General features: G+C 36.8%; 1 protein-coding gene across 7 annotated transcripts in view; it reads right to left on the bottom strand.

Annotated features, from left to right (window-relative positions):
• Positions 1–538: 538 nt before the first annotated feature.
• Positions 539–23,560, bottom strand: part of NAA35 (N-alpha-acetyltransferase 35, NatC auxiliary subunit) — an 84,317-nt gene continuing 61,295 nt past the window's right edge. For all 7 annotated transcript variants that reach the window (XM_005252127.5, NM_024635.4, NM_001321881.2 and 4 more), the window contains 11 exons: positions 22,357–22,416; positions 18,537–18,643; positions 16,070–16,136; positions 12,857–12,955; positions 12,104–12,282; positions 9,326–9,462; positions 8,436–8,503; positions 7,606–7,746; positions 7,180–7,302; positions 5,032–5,112; positions 539–4,100 (listed from right to left, as the gene is read on the bottom strand). In XM_005252127.5, coding sequence (XP_005252184.1) covers positions 4,041–4,100; positions 5,032–5,112; positions 7,180–7,302; positions 7,606–7,746; positions 8,436–8,503; positions 9,326–9,462; positions 12,104–12,282; positions 12,857–12,955; positions 16,070–16,136; positions 18,537–18,643; positions 22,357–22,416 — 1,122 coding nt within the window. In that variant the 3' untranslated portion in view covers positions 539–4,040. The remainder of the gene's footprint in view (positions 4,101–5,031; positions 5,113–7,179; positions 7,303–7,605; positions 7,747–8,435; positions 8,504–9,325; positions 9,463–12,103; positions 12,283–12,856; positions 12,956–16,069; positions 16,137–18,536; positions 18,644–22,356; positions 22,417–23,560) is intronic.

Genomic DNA, 23,560 nt, shown 5'->3' with positions numbered 1-23,560 from the left:
ACCCACAGTACCCCGAAAGCTTTGTGCTCACCACGTGTGCACTCTGCATGCTTTCTCCAGGCTGCCCTAGGGATCACGACAGATTCAGCCAACAATGGAGAGGGCTGTGGGCTGTTCCAACAAAATAGAACAGTCACCTCTGGTGACACGCATCTGTAGTCCTAGCCTCCCAAGTAGCTGGGACTACAGATGCATGTCACCATGCCCGGCTAATTTTTTGTATTTTTAGTAGAAATGGGGTTTCACTTTGTTAGCCAGGATGGTCTCAATCTCCTGATTTCGTGATCAGTGTAAAGACTCAGAGAGCTGTTGCATAATAACTTCATGTGAGTCTCCAAAATTTGATACTAAAGGCTTGGTGGTCTCAGGGGGCCAATGTGGCTGCAGCCTGAGGGGCCAAATGGAGAGGGCAGAAACGAAGTAGGAGAGGCAGAAGGGGTCAAACTGGCATTCTGGGTAAAGACTAGGTCATTCATTAGAGAACAGTGGATTTTAAGTAGAGTTGTCAAGTGACCATGCTTGCATTTTATGATCTTTTAAGATCATACCAGCCACTCCACAAATAGAGTGGGGCAAGTATGAATATGGGGAAGTCAGTTCTTCAAGCCCAGTTGAGTCGCTCTTTCCTCACTGCATGGTCTACACCTCAACTGACTTTCCAGCTTCTGCCCCACCCCTTCAAGAAAGAGCTCGCCCCAGTCGCCAGCAATCTTTACTTGCCAAGTTCAATGGGCTCTTTTCAGTCCTTCTCTTAATGGCCTCTGAGCGGCATATGGCCCTCATTCTGCTTATTTTCCTGATAAGTCTCCTTTGCAGGCTTTTTCCAGTGCCCAGAGCATAGCCAAAGAGGAACAAGGAAAACACCCACCTCTCCTGAACTTTTCCAAACAGGGTGCACTTTATTTAAGGCAGTATACTGTCTTAGAGTCTTGTGCAAACAAAACGGTGAAACAGGCACACTTGTCAAAGAGTGGCCTCGTATGATTTTGAGGTATTCTTCCCTGCAGCCTGTCCCACCACCTCAGTGGCCTCCCCATTCCCTGGCCCTCCCAAGTCTATTCCTTGGGACCTATCTCAGTCCCTTACTCTAGGAGCTCCCTGAGCAATGGCAACCCCCAGAAAATTACAGTGACTATAGTTACTGAGTCCTCAGTTCATCTCCACCCCAGATGGCACCTCCCAGTTTGAGACCAAACTACCTGCCATCTTCACCAGGATGTCCCAAAGATATCTCAATGTCTAAAGCAATCTTTATCCCAAACCTGGTCTCCTACCTTGCCTAGATATCTACACAAGTGGCACCACCATCGTCTAGTTGCCAAAGCCAAAAAAATTTCTGAAAAATCATCCTTGATTTTGGCAGAAACTCTCATTCACCATGTCCCATTAGCTGTACCTCTGAAAACATTTGATTTCATCCACTTTCTTCCACCTGCTCTGCCACTACCTTTGTTAAGACCAACATTTTCTCTCACGTGACTGGCTTCCCTGCCTCCCTTTTCAACCATTCTCAGGCAAGCAGATTTGACTTGATCCCATCATGTCCCTGCATACAAGCCTTCAGTAGAATCTACCAATATCAGAATAAAGTCCAAAATCTTTAACCTGTGGCCTCCCAGGGTTTTGGGTATCGGCTTCTCCTTGCCTCTCATCTCCGCCATCCTTTTCCTGCTCTATACTTCGGCCAGGCTGCTACCCTCTCCCCTCCAAGCCTGTGCACATTCTGTCTGGGACCCTTTTCCCAGCAGTGCCTCCTGAATAGATGCGATGGGGATTTGTCACCTAAAGTTTCACGTGGGGCAGTTCTCCTACCCAGCATACAGCATATTCTTCACTGCATTTTCAATACCTGTTGCTTTTCTGTATTTGTCGTAAGATGATAAAAGCTCTATGACAGGAGACTGTCTTATTTCTCCTATTGTTTTTTTCAGTAAGTACCTTGAATGGCAGATTACTTTAAAAATTATAAAATGGCAAATTTGTTTTTATAATTAGAAACCTGCTGTTTAAAAACAAAAACTAGCCAAGCAGGCATTTGCCTATAATCCCAGCTACTCTGGGGGCTGAGGCAGGAGGACTGCTTGAGCCCACAAGTTTGGGTCAGTTTGGGCAACATAGTGAAACCTCCTCTCTAAACAAACTAAAAACCAAAAATTAAAGCTACTTAAAGGAAACCACATGATTCTGTCAGTAACATACACTGATAAATCTAACACTAATCAATCTTTTTTAGTTGATAATGGGTTAATAGGAAAACTTTTACTTAGGAAGACCTACTTCAAAATAACCTAGATGCTCGTCTATACCAGCAGACCCAATCAGACATAGTAGCTAAAAAATGCCAGCACACCCTCTTAATTAAAAGTGATCCCATCATCTAGCAGGGCCCTTGTTGCATTAATCTACATTCCTTTTTTTGCTTTTAAGGGGGACATATTTTTTATACTTTGTATCTTGGCCACTGGGAAAGAATAATAATTTCTCAGCTTTCTAACTTGCTTCAGGCTCTCTTCTTGGTTGTTTGCCAAATGTCCATGCTCATTCTGTTTTCCTCTTTGCTTTTTCTTTTGATTCTTTGTTTCTTGTCTTGCCTATTTCCTACCATTCCTTTGCCTTTTTTTGTTTAAAGCATTCAGTAATTACCAGCCAGAAACAGTTTTCATTCTCAACAAAGTAACTACATCAGTAACAGGTATACTCTTTGTCTCTCCATAATTGAAGTTTCTATTGTACAGGCTACTTAAAAAATAATTTTTTTTAAGATTTTTCGGTTCTGAAATTTCAGGACACCTAATGGCTGTTCTTGAATAACACAAGTATTACCGCTCTTGGAAAGGAGAGCCAAGAGGGCTCATTAGCTGCAAAGAGGGGCAACAGGAACACCCTTAGCAAGTTCAGTCAGGTTAGCTGCTTTAAAGTACTGCCAGAAAAGTTTCACTATACTATCATGTTTTTATGAAAGGTACCAAATCAGAGTTAAGATATTTGAAGCTGAGAACCCTTTTAACCACAGACCAAATATAAAACTGTCACTAGTCTTAGGCTAAGCCACCAAAGCCAATTTACACCACAGAGTAACTCATTTTGCTAAGAGTATTGCCTGCTACAGAGGACAAAAAGGAAGGCCCAAGAGGCCTAGAAAGCTGCCACCGCAAACATCAGAGCAGACACAGGACAAGCAGGAAAGGAAGGGGAGGGCCTCTGGCAGCAGGCACTTGCAAGCACAGGGGGATGTAGTCAGTTTTTCAAAGCCAGAGGATACTGAACAGACACCCATTTGAAAATGTTTCATGGGTTAAACTGAATATGAAGTAAACAAAAAGTACACCACATTTAAACCTAGTCCTAAATTTTAATCTATATACATTTCTATCTGCCTCCTTTTTGCATGTCACCAGCAAACAATGTATAATCTTTTAAAAGTGCTAAAAGGATTTTTTTTACACATCTGTATTCTTACAGATATATAATTTGTGATGTCATGACACATAAAAATCACAATTTTCATGTAATTTAGAGGCCCTCCCAAAAATCCCTTCTAAATGTATTTTACCAAAATCTCATACAAGTGTTTAATTAATCCCTTGATTTGAAACTTCTTTTGGATAACGTTTTTGGAACTACTCAAATGTTAAAGAGCATACACCTTCTTCAGTTCTTAACATGGACAAAGACCTACTGTTTTTCATCTCCAGCAGTGCATTTTTTTTTTGTCAAGAAATTTATTAACCTTTATAAACACTATTTTCACTCAATCATTCATAAAAAATGATTTGTGATTAAATCTGTAATAAAACCATATAACGTTCATCAATGCATTCAATAAGACCAGTTTCTTCCATGGAACATAATAAACCACTTTAAAACAGCAGTTTTCATTCATGTCATATAAGGCTGTCAAACTAAAAGTATTCCTTATAATGAGTTGTTACCCAAGAAATCCATCTCACTTCCCGTGATGTGGAGCCTGGTGATGTGCCCTCTAAGAGTTGGGTCTGAAAGAAGACTCTGCCCCTTTATGGCCACCTCCCCAGTCTCTCTCAAACAAGTTTCACAACAGGAAAATATTTATGAGCAGAGAAATCAAATTCAGGAGGAACCTGTTAAAGAAAAACGAAACTCAATTAATGTATCTACAAATATTCAGATGGTACACAAAACAAAGACTATTTTTATTTTAGAGTTTCTTGTGTTCTTAGAAACAAGGCAGCACAAAATAGATTTTAAAAACTAGGTTAATGACAAAAAAGGTAGGAACTAACCTGGAAGAAAAACGATTAATTTGTTTTTGAGTTTTATGAAGATCATAAGAAAACAGGCTGACCAGCTGTTTTCTATCTTCAAAGAACAGTTAAAAGATAAATAGTCAAAAATTATAGGAAAGGCATTCAGTTAGATCAGGGGTCAGCACACTTTTTAGCTCCAGGTAACTGATAGAACTAAGCAATGAGATGAGAGTCAGTCAGTAGGAAACCAGGGCAGGAGAGGAGGAAGGCAGATCACAGGAAACAATGGAAGAAAAGGTGCACAACACACACAGGCAAATGCCCCCACGGTGCCTCCGCGGCTGGCCTCTCCACAGCGCAGAATCTCTGCTCTGAAATGATGACGTAGCATGGATGATATAACATTACCAAGAAAAGCTTAGACTCTTCCTCTTCTGAGCCATTACAAAGAAGTCTTTCATTATTAAAGCATTCACTTTCCCAAAGGCAGATGACTTTTAAATACCTCATACTTCTCCCATAAAATTTCTTTACATAAATTTTCTTTTTTTACCCCAAGTTATTCAGTAATTTACACAGCAAGGAGATGGAAAACGTATAGGCAGACTTTAGAAATTTTAACTCAACAAAATACACATCTCAAGACAAAATGGCAAGCTCTAATTTTTTGCTGCTGAACTAAAATTTTTAGAATGATTTTTGTTCAGTGGTTTAATTTTTCCTGTAATATTTACACATCTTATTGCAAAACTTATGAAACTTCACAATAATCTAAGACCACTTATTTTTCCCACAATGTACTCACTTTAGATTCCTTTTTGTGTCCTCCTGCCAATAACTTCATAACCACAAAGTTGGGTTTGGCAACCTTTAAAATTCTATTAACCTGAAACATGAACATAAAACTACTGAAACATTAACTTCATAGTCAAAATTTCTCTTTTTCTTTTTTGAGACCTGCTGTCAACCCAGGCTGGAGTACAGTGGTAAGAACACGGCTCACTGAAGCCTCAACCTCCTGGTTCAGGCAATCCTCCTACTTCAGCCTCCCAAATGGCTGTGCACCACCACACCCAGCTCATTTTTAAATTTTTATAGAGACAAGATCTCACTGTGTTGCCCAGGCTGGTCTTGAACTCGTGGGTTCAAGCAGACCTCCCACCCTGGCCTCCCAAAGTGTTGAGATTATAGGCGTGAGCCACTGTGGCCAGTCAAAATTTATTAATTACAGATACTAATAGAAACTTTGTATAATGGAAGTGTTGATGTTTTATTAAATAAAAGCAATTTAAAATTATAAATATATTTCTTTTAATAATATAGAACTTCATTTCAATTAACTCTGAATTGAAATGGCTACCTTATCTTGCTTTCCTGAATAACAAAAAAATTAGGCTGCAAAGTCCTGAAAAGGCAGCACAGCATAGTATTAGGAGCACAGACTCATCTTTGAATAAATGAAGTTTCACTAAATGAAATATGTCATCATAGGTAGCTCCTCAAATTTTTAGACTCCCCCTTTATATTTTCTTAGATGGTACATATAATTTTTAAAAAGTGTCTCTCCTATCTCTCTTCCAGGCACTCTGCTTCCCTCCAAGGAAGGAAACAAAACTACCAATTCTGATATTATCTTTATAAAGATATTTTATACTCGCACACATACATATAGGCTTCCTTGCCCCCTTTTATTGAAACTGCACCATACTATGCATATTAAACTGCACCTTTCTTTTTAGATTTCTTAAATCATAAGGAGCATTCCATCACAGTACATAAAGATCTTCCTCATCCTTCTTAAGGCTGCACAGTATTCCACTGTATGAATGTATCATAATTTATTAGTCCCCTGTTGATGGATACTACTGTTTCTTCCTACTTTTTGCTATTAGAAATCCTGCTGCAATGAATACTCTTATATTCGTCACTCTCACTTCCTATATGTGTTCATGTCTCTATATAAATCCCAAAAAGCAGAATTGCTGACTCTAAGCATTAATGATTTTTGACAAACACTGCTAAGCTACGCCTCTATGGAAGCGGTCCCAAGATATACTTCCCAAAACAGTATGTACACGTTACAGTAACTTTTAGAAAATAAATGTATTTCAATAAAATTAGGGATATGGTAAATTATTAAAATACCAAAAGCCTGAAACAATTTTTTTCCAAGTTTATTTTGATATCTCAGAGTTTTCAAAAGCAGTAGCCTTTATTTTAAATGGTCAAGTGGAATAAGGTTGTTCCGGTGATAACTGACCCGGTCATTTTTCATACTTATGTAAGACTTAGTTACATTTTAATAATTCTTTTTTGAGATGGAGTTTCGCTCGTCACCCAGGCTGGAGTGCAATGGCACAATCTCGGCTCCCTGCAACCTCCGCCTCCCGGGTTCAAATGATTCTCCTGCCTCAGCCTCCCCAGTAGCTGGGATTACAGACAGGCATGCACCACGCCTGGCTAATTTTTTGTATTGTTAGTACAAATGGGATTTCACCATGTTGGCCAGGCTGGTCTCAAACTCCTGACCTAAGGTGATCCACCCACCTCGGCCTCCCAAAGTGCTGAGATTACAGGTGTGAGCCACCACGCCTGGCCCCTTTAACAAACTACTGATTAAAACAGAAATGTTTCAATGCTTACATTTTGAGCTATGAATCAGATCAGTCTGGATCTTATGCTTATCCTTCTTTATGATTTTGAGTTGTAATTTGTCTTTGCATTGACTTCTAAATTTATACAAAGCAGATATTTATATCACCTCATTCTTAAAATAACTTGAAGTCTGACAACGTTAGTTTGACAAAACTACCTGAAATCCTTCGCAGAAACACGCCAAGTTCTATTCACTAACACTATTAAAGTTCACTTTCATAATTAACTTTCATCCAGCAGTAAGAGATGTATTTCCTGCCACGCTTTTCCCCTAGAATTACTGTGAATCCAGTCTCACCTCATGGTCCGGGTTAGGAATATTTTCCAATATCATTTTTGCCTGTTGAAAGTGCTTACTAGCTGCCACATACAGTTCAGGAGACTGAGGAGGAGGGCTATATTTATTGAGGTCAGACATTTCCTAAAAAGAAGGGGAAGTATAATTCAAAACACGTTTAATATGAACAACTCTAAAATCCCATTTCTAATTATTAAAGAATTCTACATTTTCTATCCACTCATACACAGACACTGGGGCAAACATTCAGCACATCTCCCTATTTTTTCCTAGGTAATATATAATTCTCAACCCTCATATGCTACCTCATATTATTCTTATGATTTAAATAACTGTTAATGTAACAAGATGGCTAGGTACAAACAGCATCTCTCTAAGAAGGTCTAAGACTAAAGATTTCATAACAAGTTCATTGAGCAGGTTCACCTTGAACTGTAAGTAGTGCACTGGCGGCGGGGTCATCACACTGTTGAATGGAGCAAACCTGTGTTCATACCGAACTTGTTCACTATCAAGCTCAAACTTCGGTTTACGTACTTTGCCGTCCATGTCAAATGCTACCATGGTCTAAATGAAAAAGGGAATAAGAAAAAAGATGAAATCAATATGAAAAAAGTGAACACTCATCAATACAGAATGGAAGACAAGAAACAGCTATTTAAAACCTTCAAGCAAACACTTCTGAAGAAATGAGGACATATAATTGTCATAAGCACAGGTCCTATTTTCAAAGAGAAGTCCATGTTCTGCTTTATGCATTTTAATGTGAGTCACCTCAAATGATTTCTTGGACTGCCAAGTACAACTTAAGAGTTAGTACCCACTGCCTTTTGAAAAGACCTGCTTTTGCTTAAGCCATTCGTTGTGGAGCTCACCCTCTTCCTAATACACTCCTAAAAAACCTAAATTCCATCTCTTCCACGAAGCCTTGCCTGATCATCAATCAGAAGTACTCTCTTCCTTTTCTTACTACCTGTCACAGATACATCAACTGGCCTGTCACTGGAGACTTCAAACAAGGACCATATAGAATTGGTATCTCCTGCAATGTACTCAGTACAAAGTGTCTCACACATAAGCAAGGGTTCAAATGGTTGTTGAAAAAATTAATGATAATAAAGGTAATCTTCAAGCAGACAGGAAGTAAAACAAAGGTGAAATTATAATATGGAAAGAATCACAGAAAACAGTTTAAATAAACTATATAATAGGGATATAGCTAAAAGGCAAAAAGAACTTCACTTTCAACAACTTACTTTAAACATTCCAGCACACATGTTCTGATATGCTTGGCTCATTGTGATCTCTCGGCTCAATGGGCGAACTGTAATTAGAAAGAAAAACGTAATCTTCCATAATCTTTTCCTCCTCCCTCTTGCATTACTGCAAAAGAAAATCTAATTTTAAAAAATCTTTCAGCTTGTATACTAAATTAAAACTTCAGTGTGTTCCTACAGGTTAAATTTTATTTATGGTCAAAATCTACAAATAAAATATAATAATCATGTCCCCAAATAGCTAATACTATAAAATTCCAGTATAAAGTAATTATAACTTTTCTGAATTCACCAGAGATTTAACCTCTTATATAGGAAACCCACAAATACAGTGATTTAATGACCCATCCAAACTGCTTTAAGTCCTAAGGAAATATGAAGTAGTATTTTATAATAATTGCAGCCATATCTATAGCCTTCCCTAAGTGATCAATAGGGCAGTCCCTTTGAAACGGTTCTCTGTCCTCATGGTTCTTGGGTGATGCCTCAAGGCGCTCTGTAACCACCTTTCGGTGCCCGCTACCACAGCACAGCTCCAGAACTACTGCCCTCCTGAGCTATCTGGCTCTGTCAATAGGTCACTGGCCTCCTGCTGTCTTGTTCCCTCACCGATATCTTGCTTGCACACTCCACGTGGCTACTTCTTGATCAAAGATTCTCTGATACACAGAACAGCAAAGAAATGAAAGCAAAGAAAGGAACCAAAAAGCTTATGTCATTGATACTGGGACTCAGTCTCTACCTTATAGTTTCTGAAAAGAGGAACAAGAACTAAAATATAATGACCAACTCACGAGTAGCTCTCCATCTATTTATCTGTAGAAATTAAAGTACACTCTGTTCTTAAGTTTAAAAATAATCCACAGCACCTTTCTTTTTTTTCTTTGTTTTTTTACTACTACGGCCTTTCTGCTGCTCTTCCATTATCCTTTCCTCTGCCATTTGAGAGCCATCGGCACGACTCAATGTTGACATCAACCATGCGTAAAGGAATTCAGAGAGATACCTTAAAGGATACAAAATGTTAGTTAATGGTAGATGTCTAAATGAGACAGCTTTATCAACACATATATTAACGATAGATATTTCAAATAATGCTTTAGGTCTTTAAAAACAGATCATTCATTAGATAATAGATTAGATCTTACAAGAAATGAACATAAGGATTAATTTTCCCTTTCTACATTTTACAACTTTCCAGAAGATTTCTTGATAATTATACATGTACATATGCAAATCAAATGAATGCCCATTAAGTTTTTATTATATCAGAACACAGTTCAGTTCAGTCTATAAATATTTTCTTTTAATCACAAAGCAAATAAAATCAGAAAAAGATAAAAAATTATCGGCATTATATAAAATCATTCTTAAAAATTAAGAACATTCACATTTACAATTTACTTGAGTTTATTTAATAAATGAAATATAAAACAGAACATTCTCTACCAGACACTAATTTTTCAGAACTTTAACACTGCTAAGCCAGAAAAGTCTTCAAATCTACGAGATATATATATATATAAAAATATATATGCATTTCATAACATAATAAGGCCTATAATTTCATATGGAGAGTAAACAATTCCTGGCCCTGAATTTAAGAAAAACATTTACTATAGTACCCTTTTATACCATATAACTGAATTTTGTTCCCTGCCACCCTACAAAATGTGAGAGTCCATAACAACTCATATATCTTAATTCAAGTGAAGGATTTCTATAGGCAACTGATGATGTCTTCTACCTTCTGTTTATCTAACCTAAGGACACATGAGTGAAGGGGACAACTAAGATGCAGCCTTTTCTTCTCAAATATCAGGTACCTCAATGATCTTTTATTAAGTGCTTTATCAAAATTAATATACATTTATGTCTAAGAGAGTGCTGATATTCTATACCAATGGTTCTCAAACTGTCATCTCTGGGCCAGCAGCAGTTCACCTGAGAACCAGTTAGAAATGCAAATTATTCGGTCTCACCCTAGACCTAACAGGTCAGGAATTCTAGGAACTTAGCCCAAAAATTTGTGTATTAATGCACTTTCCAAGTGATTATGATGCATGTTAAAGTTTAAGAATCACTGTTTTTGCTGATGATTTAAAGAGTCCACATGCTTCAGGGACCGTATGCATGAAAAACAACTAAAGGTTATCTCGGGGAAATGCAGGAGCCCAATCTGTAATTTTGAAATTAAAAAGCAGTTCAAAACCAATTATGAAAAGACCACAAGGGTATTTATGGGCAGACTAAAGTTCTTTTAACAAGAAAAGAAACAAATCTACTTATGTATATAGACAAATGTGTAATGGAGTATTTATCTGCGTCTCATTTATTTGCTCAATTAAGATCCCAATTCTCTGTGCAAAAAAGCATATAAAAATAATATTTTGATCTGAGAAATCAAGAACAAAGGTCCCATTAGCTGCTTCAAGCCACAAAAGAACCTGAGCATGTTCCCCTATAAAAAGGAACAAAAGTAGCCAGGTGCAGTGGTGCACATCTGTAGTCCCACCTACTTGAGAGGCTGAGGTGGGAAGACTGACAACCCAAGAGTTCAGGACCAACCCGGGCAACATGGCAAGACCCCACCTCAAAAAACAGAAACGAAAACAAAACCAGAATTGTCTACTATGAATAACAAAATGTAGTATCCAAAGTAGCTATATAAATACCTGTTAGTAAGGATTATTTGGTATTATCTATATAAATGTTGAAGAATATATAGCAAGGAAAATTATTCTCATACTGCTATAGTTGATGCTCAAATTCAGTTTTCACAGGCAAGAGTTGTCTGTCAAAAGCCTTCACTGCTCATAACAAAATCTACATCAACAGCATGGAAGAGAATTACTTTCCCTCCCACAGCAGTGACTTCAGAGAATACAGAATAACTTAATTACTAGGTAAAATTTAAACAAGTTTAAAAGTTGAACTCTATTAAAGTCTAATACACTAAACCTGAGTGTTTGTGATGAGTAACACAGGTCATTAGTTTAAAATTATGTGCCAGACTGAGAAAAAAATTCAAAATAACTGAATTCATTAACACTCAATCTTATTTTCTTTCTATGACAGCTTTTACATGCCTAAAATATGCTCAAACATCCTCTTTTCCAAACATCCTCTTACTAGGTTTATTTTGTCCGCAAGTGAAAGGGAAGAACTACTCTGCCGAAGATCATCTTTTATCAACTCCAAAGCTCCTGAAGTGAATCCTCAGCACCACGGTTTGAAACAGTTATGCTCCCAGTGATCACCTTGGTCATGATTTCTTCCAAGAAGACAGACCTCATTCCAATTTGATGTTTAACTGTCAAGTACATCCACAGCTAGTGCCACCAAATTCAGGGCAAAATGTGTTAATTTTTCTCCATAGGAGCAAATAAATGATCTTCAATTAATCCATTTACTTTGGAGTCATTTTTTGTTAATTTTTACATAAACATTTGGAAAAATACACTCATGCAATATTATAGCACTTAAAGATATTCAAGATGATCTAGCTCTAATTTTCAAATTTTTCCAACTGTCCCACAACTAAAGATAAAATATACTAAATGAAAAAGTACCCTGAAATTAACTCTGAATTCTCAGATCTTATCCATTGCACCCACCACCAATTTTAACTCAAACTGTGCTCTTACCAATATATGTAATAGTACTCGTGCATACTGTAGAGTTCCAATTCAAAGCCACTTAGAAGGTACTGTATCATAATGCGAAGGTTATGGTAAAGGACCCAGGTACCTAAACAGGCCAAATGTTGCCTTTGGGGTTCCTGTTTCAACAGCATGGTGTGAAGCGCTGCATCAACCTTCTCTGCCTATTAAAATAAAATGTCATAAACTGTGTTCGTTTTGTTTTCTTAAGGTAATGACAGAACTTTAAAAAAACGTACAGCTAAAAAGAATATGAGCAGAAAATTTAAATCTGACCACCCAAAGAAACATTTTTAAATGCATTTTTAGTTAGGTTTACATTTGAAGTTCTCATTTCACAATGGTTAACATTTACCTAAACATGCCTTAAACCAAATCAATTTTAAAGGACAAAAATACAAATACACTTCAGGTCTTATCAATATTGCTGCTGCACACAAATTAACTTTAAAATTAATGTATTAATATTTTTTATAATGTAAGCTTGTAAAACTATCATTTTATACATATTTCATAATTTATTCCTATTATCAAAGAAATATTTAAGATATCTATCAGTTTGGATTATTGTTCTGTTTCATTTTGTAAACGTTGGTGTAAGAAACTGTTATATTTTAAGTGAAAAGTGGATCATGTTGAAAAATTAGTCAAAATATTGTTCTGAATTATTGTTTTTAAAAATCTGGACAAAGTGTGTGCATCATTTAATTTTAGAAGAGAGGGGAACCTGGCTCTTACCTCATCCTGCAAGGTGGCAAATTCCTCAAGAATATGACCAAGCTTATCTCTCTGTCGAGCCCTGTTATGTCCATGGATCTGAATAAGACTACAGAATGGCTGCAATACACATATAATTTGTCAACTGTAAATATGAAATTTCCTAGTACCAAAGAAACTTAACATTCCAAGTTCACAATCTGGTTTAAGGGAAAAAAATGCTGTGTATGTAAGAATTAGGTCTATGTATACTTTTAATTTTACATAGGTGTTTGTTTTAAGGAACTCAACACCAGAATTTATCAATAACTGGAAAAAAACAGCTTCATGTGAAACTTGCTTTCATATGATAAAAATAGCTTCCTTCGATCTTTAGATATCTTCTTGCAATTTCACAAGGACAATTTCTTTCCTGCTTGAGTCAAAAGCCAATGTTCAAGGCTGACATTCCTGTGCTGCTATAAATATGTCAGAATGCCTAATAATTATTAGCTTAAAAAGAGCTAATAGCCATAAAGCTTGACTATGGTTCTTTATTCCTGCTTTCTCCATAAGGTGTTCTCATCTAAAATACTATGTAACATTCCACTAACCAGGCAAGAGACATGGATTTGTAAGTCTGAGTTAGAAGATTCTCAAAGTATAATACTGTTTTATATTTGCATACTGTGACAGATATTATCTCATTTGATCAGTAACTACCCTGTAAGAGGTCAGAGAAGATATAAGCATTTTACTCTTTAGAGAGTGGAAAGTTGGGTCGGGCACAGTGGCTCACCCCTGTAATCCCAGCACTTTGGGAGGCCAAGGCAGGTGGATCATGAGGTCAACAGTTGTGACTGTTGGTGGTGAAACCCCGTCACTAATAAAAATACAAAAATTAGCTGGGCGTGGTGGCAGGCGCCTGTAATCCCAGCTACATGGGAGGCTGAGGCAGAGAACTTCTTGAACCTGGGAGGCGGAGGTTGCAGTAAGCTGAGATCGCACCACTGCACTCCAGCCTGGGCAACAGAGTGAGACTTCATCTCAAAAAAAAACAAAAAAAAAAGGGAAAGTTTAAAAATTAAAGTGATATGCCTGATAAAATATTAATGATAAAAATGAAATAAATTCTGGTCTTCTATTGTTTTTTCTTTCCCCATACCATGCTGCCTTTCCATTATATATTATTATATATAATATATATTATATATTATATACATTATATATTATATACTATATTATATATTATAGTATATATTATATGATATATAATATATATTAATATATATCATATAATATATATTTATATATTTAAATAAGTTTAAAAGTTGAACTCAAAGTCTAATATACTAAACCTGAGTGTTTGTGATGTACATATATAATGTAATTATATATAATATATATTTAGTAACTGGAAGTAGATATATATATGAAATATATATATATTTAGTAACTGGAAGTAGACCCAAAAAAGCTGCCTGTTGGAGTTCTCTAAAAGAAATACATCTAATTAAATAAAAATGAAGCCGGGTGCGGTGGCTCCTGCCTGTAAGTCCCAGCACTTTGGGAGGCCAAGACGGGCGGATCACTTGAGCTCAGGAGTTTGAGACCAGCCTGGCCAACAGGGTGAACCTGTCTCCACAAAAAATACAAAAAAATTAACCAGGTGTGGTGCCATGAGCCTGTAGTCTCTGCTCCTCCGAATGCTGAGGTGGGAGGATTGCTTGAACCCAGGGGGTAGAGGTTGCAGTGAGCCAAGATCACTGCACTCCAGCCTGGGCAACAGAGGGAGACACTGTCTTAAAATAAATAAATAAATAAATATTTTAAAAAATTAAATAAAAATGAATAATTCAACTCACTACAAGATTTGCATTTTTTCCTAATTACTTGAGATGAAAACAATTTGTGACCTCATTTAAATTAATAATTTTAATTTTTTTTTTGAGACAGTTTTGCTCTTGTTGCCCAGGCTGGAGTGCAATGGCGTGATCTCTACTCACTGCAACCTCTGCCTTCTGGGTTCAAGCAATTCTGCCCCAGCCTCCTGAGTAGCTGGGATTACAGGCATGCACCACTATGCCCAGCTAATTTTGTATTTTCAGTAGAGACAGGGTTTTTCCACGTTGGTCAGGCTGGTCTCGAACTCCCGACCTCAGGTGATCCACCTGCCTCAGCCTCCCAAACTGCTGGGATTACAGGCGTGAGCCACCATGCCCAGCCAATAATTTTAATTTTATTATAACTCAGTTCATTAATATAATACAAAGATAAGTGTACAAGGATGTTAAAAATATTCTAAGGTTAGGCCAGGCGCGGTGGCTCACGCTTGTAATCCCAGCACTTTGGGAGGCCAAGGCGGGTGGATCACGAGGTTAGGAGATCGAGACCATCCTAGCTAACACGTGAAACCCCGTCTCTACTAAAAATACAAAAAAAAAAATTAGCCAGGCATGATGGCGGCGCCTGTAGTCCCAGCTACTTGGGAGGCTGAGGCAGGAGAATGGCGTGAACCCGGGAGGCGGAGCTTGCAGTGAGCCAAGATTGCGCCACTGCACTCCCGCCTGGGCCACAGAGCGAGACACCGTCTTAAAAAAAAAAAAAAAAAAAAAAATTCTAAGGTTAAAAAAAAAAGTAAAGTTTTTATGTCCATTCACAAAAAATTTTGAGGAAGCAACTGCTGTTTTCCCAGTTGAGAGTCATAACATTCCCTATCTATGGTCCCCACAGGCTGCAGTGGGAGGTCATCCAAGGCTGCCTCTGTAGCTAATAACCTATCAGAAGACCTTAGGATATAAAACCATCCACTCAAGTGTTAGGAGGAGACAGTTTTTATTTATTCACTGAAAGTAAACAAGAAATATTAGATGAAAAAAAGCACAGACACTGAAGGAATTGCAGTCCAGCAATTTATTATTATTATTATTATTATTATGGTTATTGAGACAAAGTCTCACTCTGTCCCCCAGGCTGCAGTGCAGTGGCACGATCTTGGTTCACTGAAACCTCCTGGGTTCAAGCGATTTTCCCACCTCAGGCTCCTGAGTAGCTGGCACTACAGGCGTGCGCCACCATACGCTGATTTTTGTATTTTTAGTAGAGATGGGGTTTCACTATGTTGGCCAGGCTGGTCTCAAACTCCTGACCTCAGGTGATCCACCTGCCTCAGCCTCCCAAAGTGAGCCACCGTGCCCGGCCACAGCCCATGATTTTTAAAGTACCCATTATGACAATCCAAATTGTAGCTCTTACCCGAACACAGTGAGTAACAAAGGAGTCGATACAGTCCTTAGCCTGGTGATTATTATATAGGTAGCACCTGCAAGATAACAGTCACATCATTAAAATCTATTCAGCCCAAACAAAAGCAGCAGCAATTACTGCAGATGCTACCAAATGACAGAGAAGGTGAATAAAAGAGAAAATGGAACCGATACCTAAGTTAAAGAATTTCAGTATTAGATTAAGAAATATTTTACAATTATTATGTAATTCACACAATAAATCTGTGATATTTCCAATTCCTATAGGTCTATATTTGAACAATCAGAGTTGGATCCAGTAAGATCAAATTAGCAAAGAGAAAAGGAAAAGTCTAAAGCTCTACTTTTTCATGACCCTACTTCAGTGTCACATATTTCCCTACAATTGATTTCCTCATGGACTGTGCTCCTAATAATAATCACAAAGAAAATACTATACAGGATCCTAATTTTTTCTGTATCCCCACTCCTCACCATTGGTTATAAATCACCTATACCTCCCTTTGGCACGTCATCTCTTCTCACAAAGTGGTTTCCTTTACGGTGTTCCTTATCTCTGATTAACAGAGTCAAGGTCACACAATGGCAAAGACAGTGCACCCAGCACCCAGGAGAAAGAAAAAAGGTCAACACCTGGAACAGGCAGTTGGTGAAATGGGAAGTGCTGAAGGTTCATTACATCTTTAACCCTAAAGCAAGAAAATTACTTGAGATTAAAATAAAGCTTTTAAAAGGCTCTTTAAAAGCTTTAAAAGGCTCTCTCAATCTAAAAATGATTATTTTCAAATTTAAAAATTCAGTAGAAGAAATATGTTCATTAGTAGCCTTGAAGATCAAGAGGAAGAACTTTCTCACAACACAGCAAAAATAACAAGGAGATGACTGTCATGAGGCATAGGTAAGAGAGCTCTAGAAGACCCTAGTATGCTAGGAGCTCTAAAAAAGGAAAAATCAAAACAGATGAAGGTGAAGCAATAAATAAGTAATAACAGGGACAAATGATCTGACTAAAAACCTGAGTCTTTAATGACTGAATTCCAGATAGCACTAGCTGAAAATCACACATGAATATTCTGGTAAAACTTCTGAACTCCTAAAATAAAGAGAAACTCATCAACGCTTCAGAAGAAGTTTCAAATCACTTACAAAGGAAAAGAGGATTCTCATCTATAACACTGAAAGTTTTAAAACAGTGGAACAACTAGACTACCACACAATAAAGTTTTCCATATATACAATTATCATTATTTGTGGTATTTATGTTCCATAAAGTTTCTGAAGATACTAAATTAGACTATTAAATCATTGCTAACATGGGAAATAAAGGGTTAGATTCCTATGAGTCTCTGGTCACAACATTTCCATGCACTGATCAATGAATAACCTTATTTTATGTGTATTTCTGTTTAAGACACCTCATTTAATGGATTAATATACTGTTGATTTATTAACATCAAACTCATGACCCAATAGTGTATACCAAATGTGAACAGGCTGAATTCTGCTTTCAAAAGATTTGAGCTAACAAAAATTACACCACCATGTAAAAGAAACATATTAGGCCGGTGCAGTGGCTCAAGCCTATAATCCCAGCACTTTGGGAGGCCAAGGTGGGCAGATCACTTGAGGTCAGGGTTTGAGACCAGCCTGGCCAACATAGCGAAAGCCCATCTCTACTAAAAATACAAAAATTAGCTGGGCATGGTGACATGCACCCGTGATCTCAGCTACTCAGGAGGCTGATGTGGGAGAATCTCTTGAACCTAGGAGGCGGAGGTTGCAGTAAGCTGAGATGATGCCACTGCACTCCAGCCTGAGCAACATTATGTACATGCAAATACTTCAAAAATCCAAAAATATCAGAAATCTAAAACACCTCTGGTCCAGGGCATTTTGGATAAAAGATACTCAACATTTATTATGAAATATTTGGCAGCCATTACATATAATTAATTAGATCTACCATGAAGTAATTTGTGATAGAAAGCCATCGTGTATCTTTCAGTGGAAAAAGATACACTGTTAGGTGTATCTTTTTTTTTAACAAAGTGTAAGTGCTTTGTTAAGAAATGATGACTCCTTTCTTCCCTTCCCTGTTGGAAAAGCCTGACATTTCTCAGAATGCCAGCTTTCAAATGATGATTCTTTCTGCATGCAATCCTTTCAGCCTCTGATGGCAGCATGTTTTCGGGGCAGTGCCTCTACTACGGCAAAGTTTAAGGACTTACGCTGGAGACAAAAAACTTGGAGTTATCAGAAATTTTGTCAACCTCATAAAAACCTTAGTTTTAATCTAAACAATGTGGCAGAGATCAATTAATTTTAACACTATTAAGTTACTTTACATGGAGATTTGGTCCCAATTTTGATACTTTGGCTATAAAGAAGGAGTACAGAGAAGTTGGGCTTTTAAAGGAGCACATACATACAACTCTAAAATGTCTTACAATACTTACTTGGGGGAAAGCACCGGAGGACTGACAAAAGACCGAAGTGCATCTTTCACCATGTCTTGCATGAGATGAGTTCCAAAGACCTTTTTGTTATCCACCAGGAAAGTGGTCTTAAAACAAATGTTATATATTAGTTACGGTGTCACGCACAGAATTGTCATTAGTGTAAAATCAGTATACTTATAAATGCCACAGACTACGCAAGTGATTAAAATATAAAAAGTTTGTGAAAATTTTTTATAAGTTGCTGTCTCCACAATGAGTGTTACTTATTAATCCTTACTGAAGGTGAATTCTGATGTAGGATAAAAAATGTACAGAAATAAAAACCTCCCAAGAGTAGTAATATTAAAATAGTCAAAATAAACTGACTAATCTGATTATGTCAAATGAGCTAATGTATTAAAAAATGCTTCATAAACTATGAAATAGTAAATGGCTATACATGTTATTTGATAATCCTGTTTACCTCTAATGAATGTTTTGTAACATATACAAATATTTTTAATATTTTTTATGTTCATTTCTGAACATGAAAAAATTTAAAACAACTTGCATTTAATAATTTGTTTTAATTTCCTTTCCTTTCCTTAACAATCCACTGTATTTTAGTATTTAATATACCATACCTTGATTTCCTAAGACTGTTTTTAAATTTTAAAATTTACATATGGTAAAATTTACATGTTTGTTGTACAGTTATAAGTCTAACAAAAGCATAGTTTTTCAAATCAGTCTCACAATCAAGATACAGAACAAACTGTATCACCTGTATCACCCTAAAAACATTCCCTCATGTGATCCCTTTGTGGTCAAACGCTCCTCCCGCCCCAAACCCCTGGCAAGCACTGATCTGCTCTCCAGCTCTATCAGTTTTGCCATTTCCAGAATGTCATTAAAACGAAATCATATAGCCTTTTGAGTCCAGCTTCTTTTACCCAGCATAATGCAGTGGAGATTCATTGGCATTGTTAAGTGTATCATGCTTCATTTTCTTTTTATTTCTGAGTAGTATTCCACTGTGCATGTACCACAGTATGTTTATCCACTGACCAGCTCAAGAACATTTGGGTTGTCTGTTTTTGATGATCATGAACAAACAGCTCTACACATTTGCAGAGGTTTCGAGAAGAATGTCAAATTTCACTTCTCTTAGGCAATCAACTAGGAGTGTGAGCTGCATGTTTAATTTATAAGAACGTGCCAAGCTATTTTCCAAAGCAGCTGAACCACATTACATTCCTATCACCAAATACATCCTCACCAGCACTTGGTATTATCAGACTTTTTTTTTTTTTGAGATGGGGTCTCGCTCTGTTGCCCAGGCTGGAGTGCAGTGGTGCGATCTTGGCTTACTGCAACCTCTGCCTCCTAGCTTCAAGCAATTCTCTGCCTCAGCCTCCCGAGTAGCTGGGATTACAGGCGCCTGCCACCATGCCAGGCTAATTTTTGTATTTTTAGTACAGATGGGGTTTCACTATCTTGGCCAGGCTGATCTTGAACTTCTGACCTCGTGATCCAACCACCTCCGCCTCCCAAAGTGCTGGGATTACAGGCGTGAGCCACCATGCCTGGCCAGATTTTTTTTTTTTTAAAGATATTCTGAAAGGTGAATAGTATTTCTGTGATTTAATTTGCATTTCCCTAATATTTACCATGTTGAATTTGAATATTTAATATATTGAATATTGCTGAATATTAATCATATTAGATTTGCACCTATGTATTTCATTTTGTTATTGTAAATAGTTTGGTTTTTAAAATTTTGATCTACCATTGTTCATTTCAAGTATATAGAATTACAACTGCTTTCTGTATAATGACTTCATATCCTATAATCTCACTAAATTCACTAATCAGTTCTAGGAACTTCCTTGTAAAATCCATGGGCATTCTACATGGAAAATGATGTCATCTCTAAATAGACAATATTTTTTCTTCCTTTCCAAATCTGTGTGCCATTTATTTCTTTTTCTTGCTTTATTGCACTGGCTAAGATTTCCAATGTTCAGTAAGAGCGAAGTGGGCATCTTTGCCTTCTTCCCATTCTTGGAGGAAACCATTTAGTCTTTCATCATTAAGTATGATGTTAGCTGTAAGGTATTTTTGTATATGTCCTTTATCAGGTTTAGGAAGCTCTCTTCTGTATCTAGTTTTGCTAAGAGTTTCAAATCATGAATGGATGTTGAATTTTGTCAAATGCTTTTTGTGAATCTACTAAGACTTTAGATAATATGGTATATTATGCTGACCAATTTTCAACTGGTGAACCAGGCTTGATTCTTAGGGTAAATCTTATTTGGTCATGGTGTATTACCTCTTTTTATATATTGTTGAATTTGATTTATTAATAATTTATTGAAGATTTTTACATCTGTGTTCATGGAATAAGATTTTTACATCTGTGTTTGTGAGGAAAATATGGTCTATAGTTTTCCATGTTTGTAAAGTTGGTTTGGTTTTGATAGAGTAAATTCTGGCTCATATGAGTGTTCTTGCCTCTTTTATTTTCTGGAAGACACTACATAGAGCTGGCCTGCAGTTTGCATTGTTAGGTTTTTAACTATAAGTCTGATTTATTTAATAGATAAGAGATTATTCAAATTATCTGTCTCTTCTTGAGTTTTGGTAGTCTGTATCTACATTTAAAGGAATAGGTCCATTTTATCTGCTTTTGCATTTATGGACAGAGTTGTATATCCCATTACTATTCTTTTAATGTTTACAGAGTCTGTAATGATACCCCTTCTTTCATTCTTGATATTAGTCATTTTTATCTTTCTCTTATTATGCCTCATTAGAGGTTCATTGACTTCATGAATATTTTCAAAGAATGAGCTTTGGGTTGCATTGATTTTCTCCATTGTTTTTCTGTTCTATATTTTACTAATTTCTGCTCATTATTTCCTTCTGTTTGTTTTAATATGCTCTTCTTTTTCTGGTTTCATACAGTGGTAGCTTAAATTACTAACCGTAGACTTTTTTTTTTTGACAGGGTCTCACTCTGTTGCCCAAGCTGGAATGCAGTTGGTGGGATCACAGCTCACTGCAGCCTGGATTTCCCAGGTTCAAGCGATCCTCCAACCTGTAATCCTAGCACTTTGGGAGGCTGAGACGGGTGGATCACCTGAGGTCAGGGGTTTGAGACCAGCCTGGCCAACATGGTGAAACCCCGTCTCTACCAAAAATACAAAAATTAGCTAGGCATGATGGTGTGCGCCTGTAATCCCAGCTACTTGATAGGCTGAGGCACAAGAATCACTTGAACCCGGGAGGCGGAGATTGCAGTTAGCCAAGAGCATGCCACTGCACTCCAGCCTGGGCAACGAGTGAGATTATCTCAAAACAAAAACAAAACAAAAAAACATTCAATGCTACAAATTTCCCTCTAAGCGCTGCTTTATTTGTATCTCACAGATTTGGGTACATTTTAATTTTCATTCAGTTCAAAATATTTTTGAACTCCCCTCAAGACCTCTGTCTTTGACCCATGTGTTACTTACAAGTTGTTTAATTTCAAAATATTTGGAGATTTTCCTGGATATCATTCCCTTGTTGGTTACTAGTTTAATTCTAAAATGATAAGAAAGATACTTTGTAGGATTTTGATTGTTTTTAAATCACTGAGGTTTGTTTTATGACCTAGGATATGATCTTGATGGATGTCTAATGCTTAAAGTTAATACTTCAATTAAAAAAAAAATACACAACACTAACTGGAAAATCCTTTAAAAGCATCTACCTTTTGTTCAATCAATCAATAAAACAATGTCAATACACATATAATGTTTAAATAAGTATTTTGATACTAAGTGGAACTTACTTGTAACAGAGATCTTGAAAGAACACATGGTGACTGTTCACTAAATTCACAGAAAAAATCCTAACAGATATATAAAGAAAAAGCAATGTCATTAATAGATTAAATAAAAGCTAAAAACACTTCATCAGACTGTAATTTTTACTAGACCTTCTGGAAATGACATAGTACCAGAGTTAAAATATGACAAATAAAGGTCATTTCTATAGAAATTATTTAATTATATAAAAGGGACAATGGATAATTCTAGACTCTAAAAACTTTCCTTAAAAAAACTGACCAATCATAGAATTGTGTGGATACCAATATTAAATTTGTATACCATAAAAATAATACCAATAATAATTTACTAAGTCATGGCAGAACTTTAGTTCCTATTTCACAGAAATAAATTCCAAGTAATCAAGTCAACTGGATGCACATTACTGATTGTTGCTGACTATAGGGAAAGACCAAAAGATACAGGTTTTTGAGCAAGAGTCTACCAAGTGATCAATAAGCCTAAGTGTCACCAAAGCTTCAACACCAAAAGTACCTCACTAACATACCCCACTTTGAAACCAGAGACAAGAAGTCAGCTTCAAATAAAGACCCTACAGAAAGCCTCGGCCCAGTGAAAACATCCAGAAAAGAAGTCTATTGACTGTACTCAATCTACACTGCAGTTAAAGGAACATCCACACACAGAGATGAGAAAGAACCTAGGCAAGAACTATGGTAACTCAAATGGCCAGAGTGTCATATGTCCTCCAAATGACTGCACCAGTTCTCCAACATGAGTTCTTAATCAGGCTGAACTGGCTGGAATGACAGAAATAGAATTCAGGACCAAAGATCATAGAGATTCAGGAGGATAGCAAAACCCAATCCAAGAAAAATAATAATAATAAAGTGATACAGGAGCTGAAGGATAAAATAGCTGGCATAAAAAAGAACCTAAAAGGTCTGACAGAGCTGAATAATACAAGAATTTCACTATGCAATCACAAGTATTAACAGCAAAATAAACTGAGGTGAGGACAGAATCTCAGAACTTGAAGACTGGTTCTCTGAAATAAGACAGTCAGACAAAAATAAAGAAAAAAGAAGAAAAAGGAATGAAAAAAACCTCTGAGAAGTATGGGATTATGGAAACAAGCTAACTTTGAATCACTGGCATCCCTGAAAGGCAAGGGGAGAAAGCAAACATCTTGGAAAATATATTTCT

The sequence above is a fragment of the Homo sapiens genome, chromosome 9 (assembly GCF_000001405.40).
Source record: "Homo sapiens chromosome 9, GRCh38.p14 Primary Assembly".
Taxonomy (NCBI): domain Eukaryota; kingdom Metazoa; phylum Chordata; class Mammalia; order Primates; family Hominidae; genus Homo; species Homo sapiens.
This window is presented reverse-complemented; position numbering and strand designations above follow the sequence as displayed.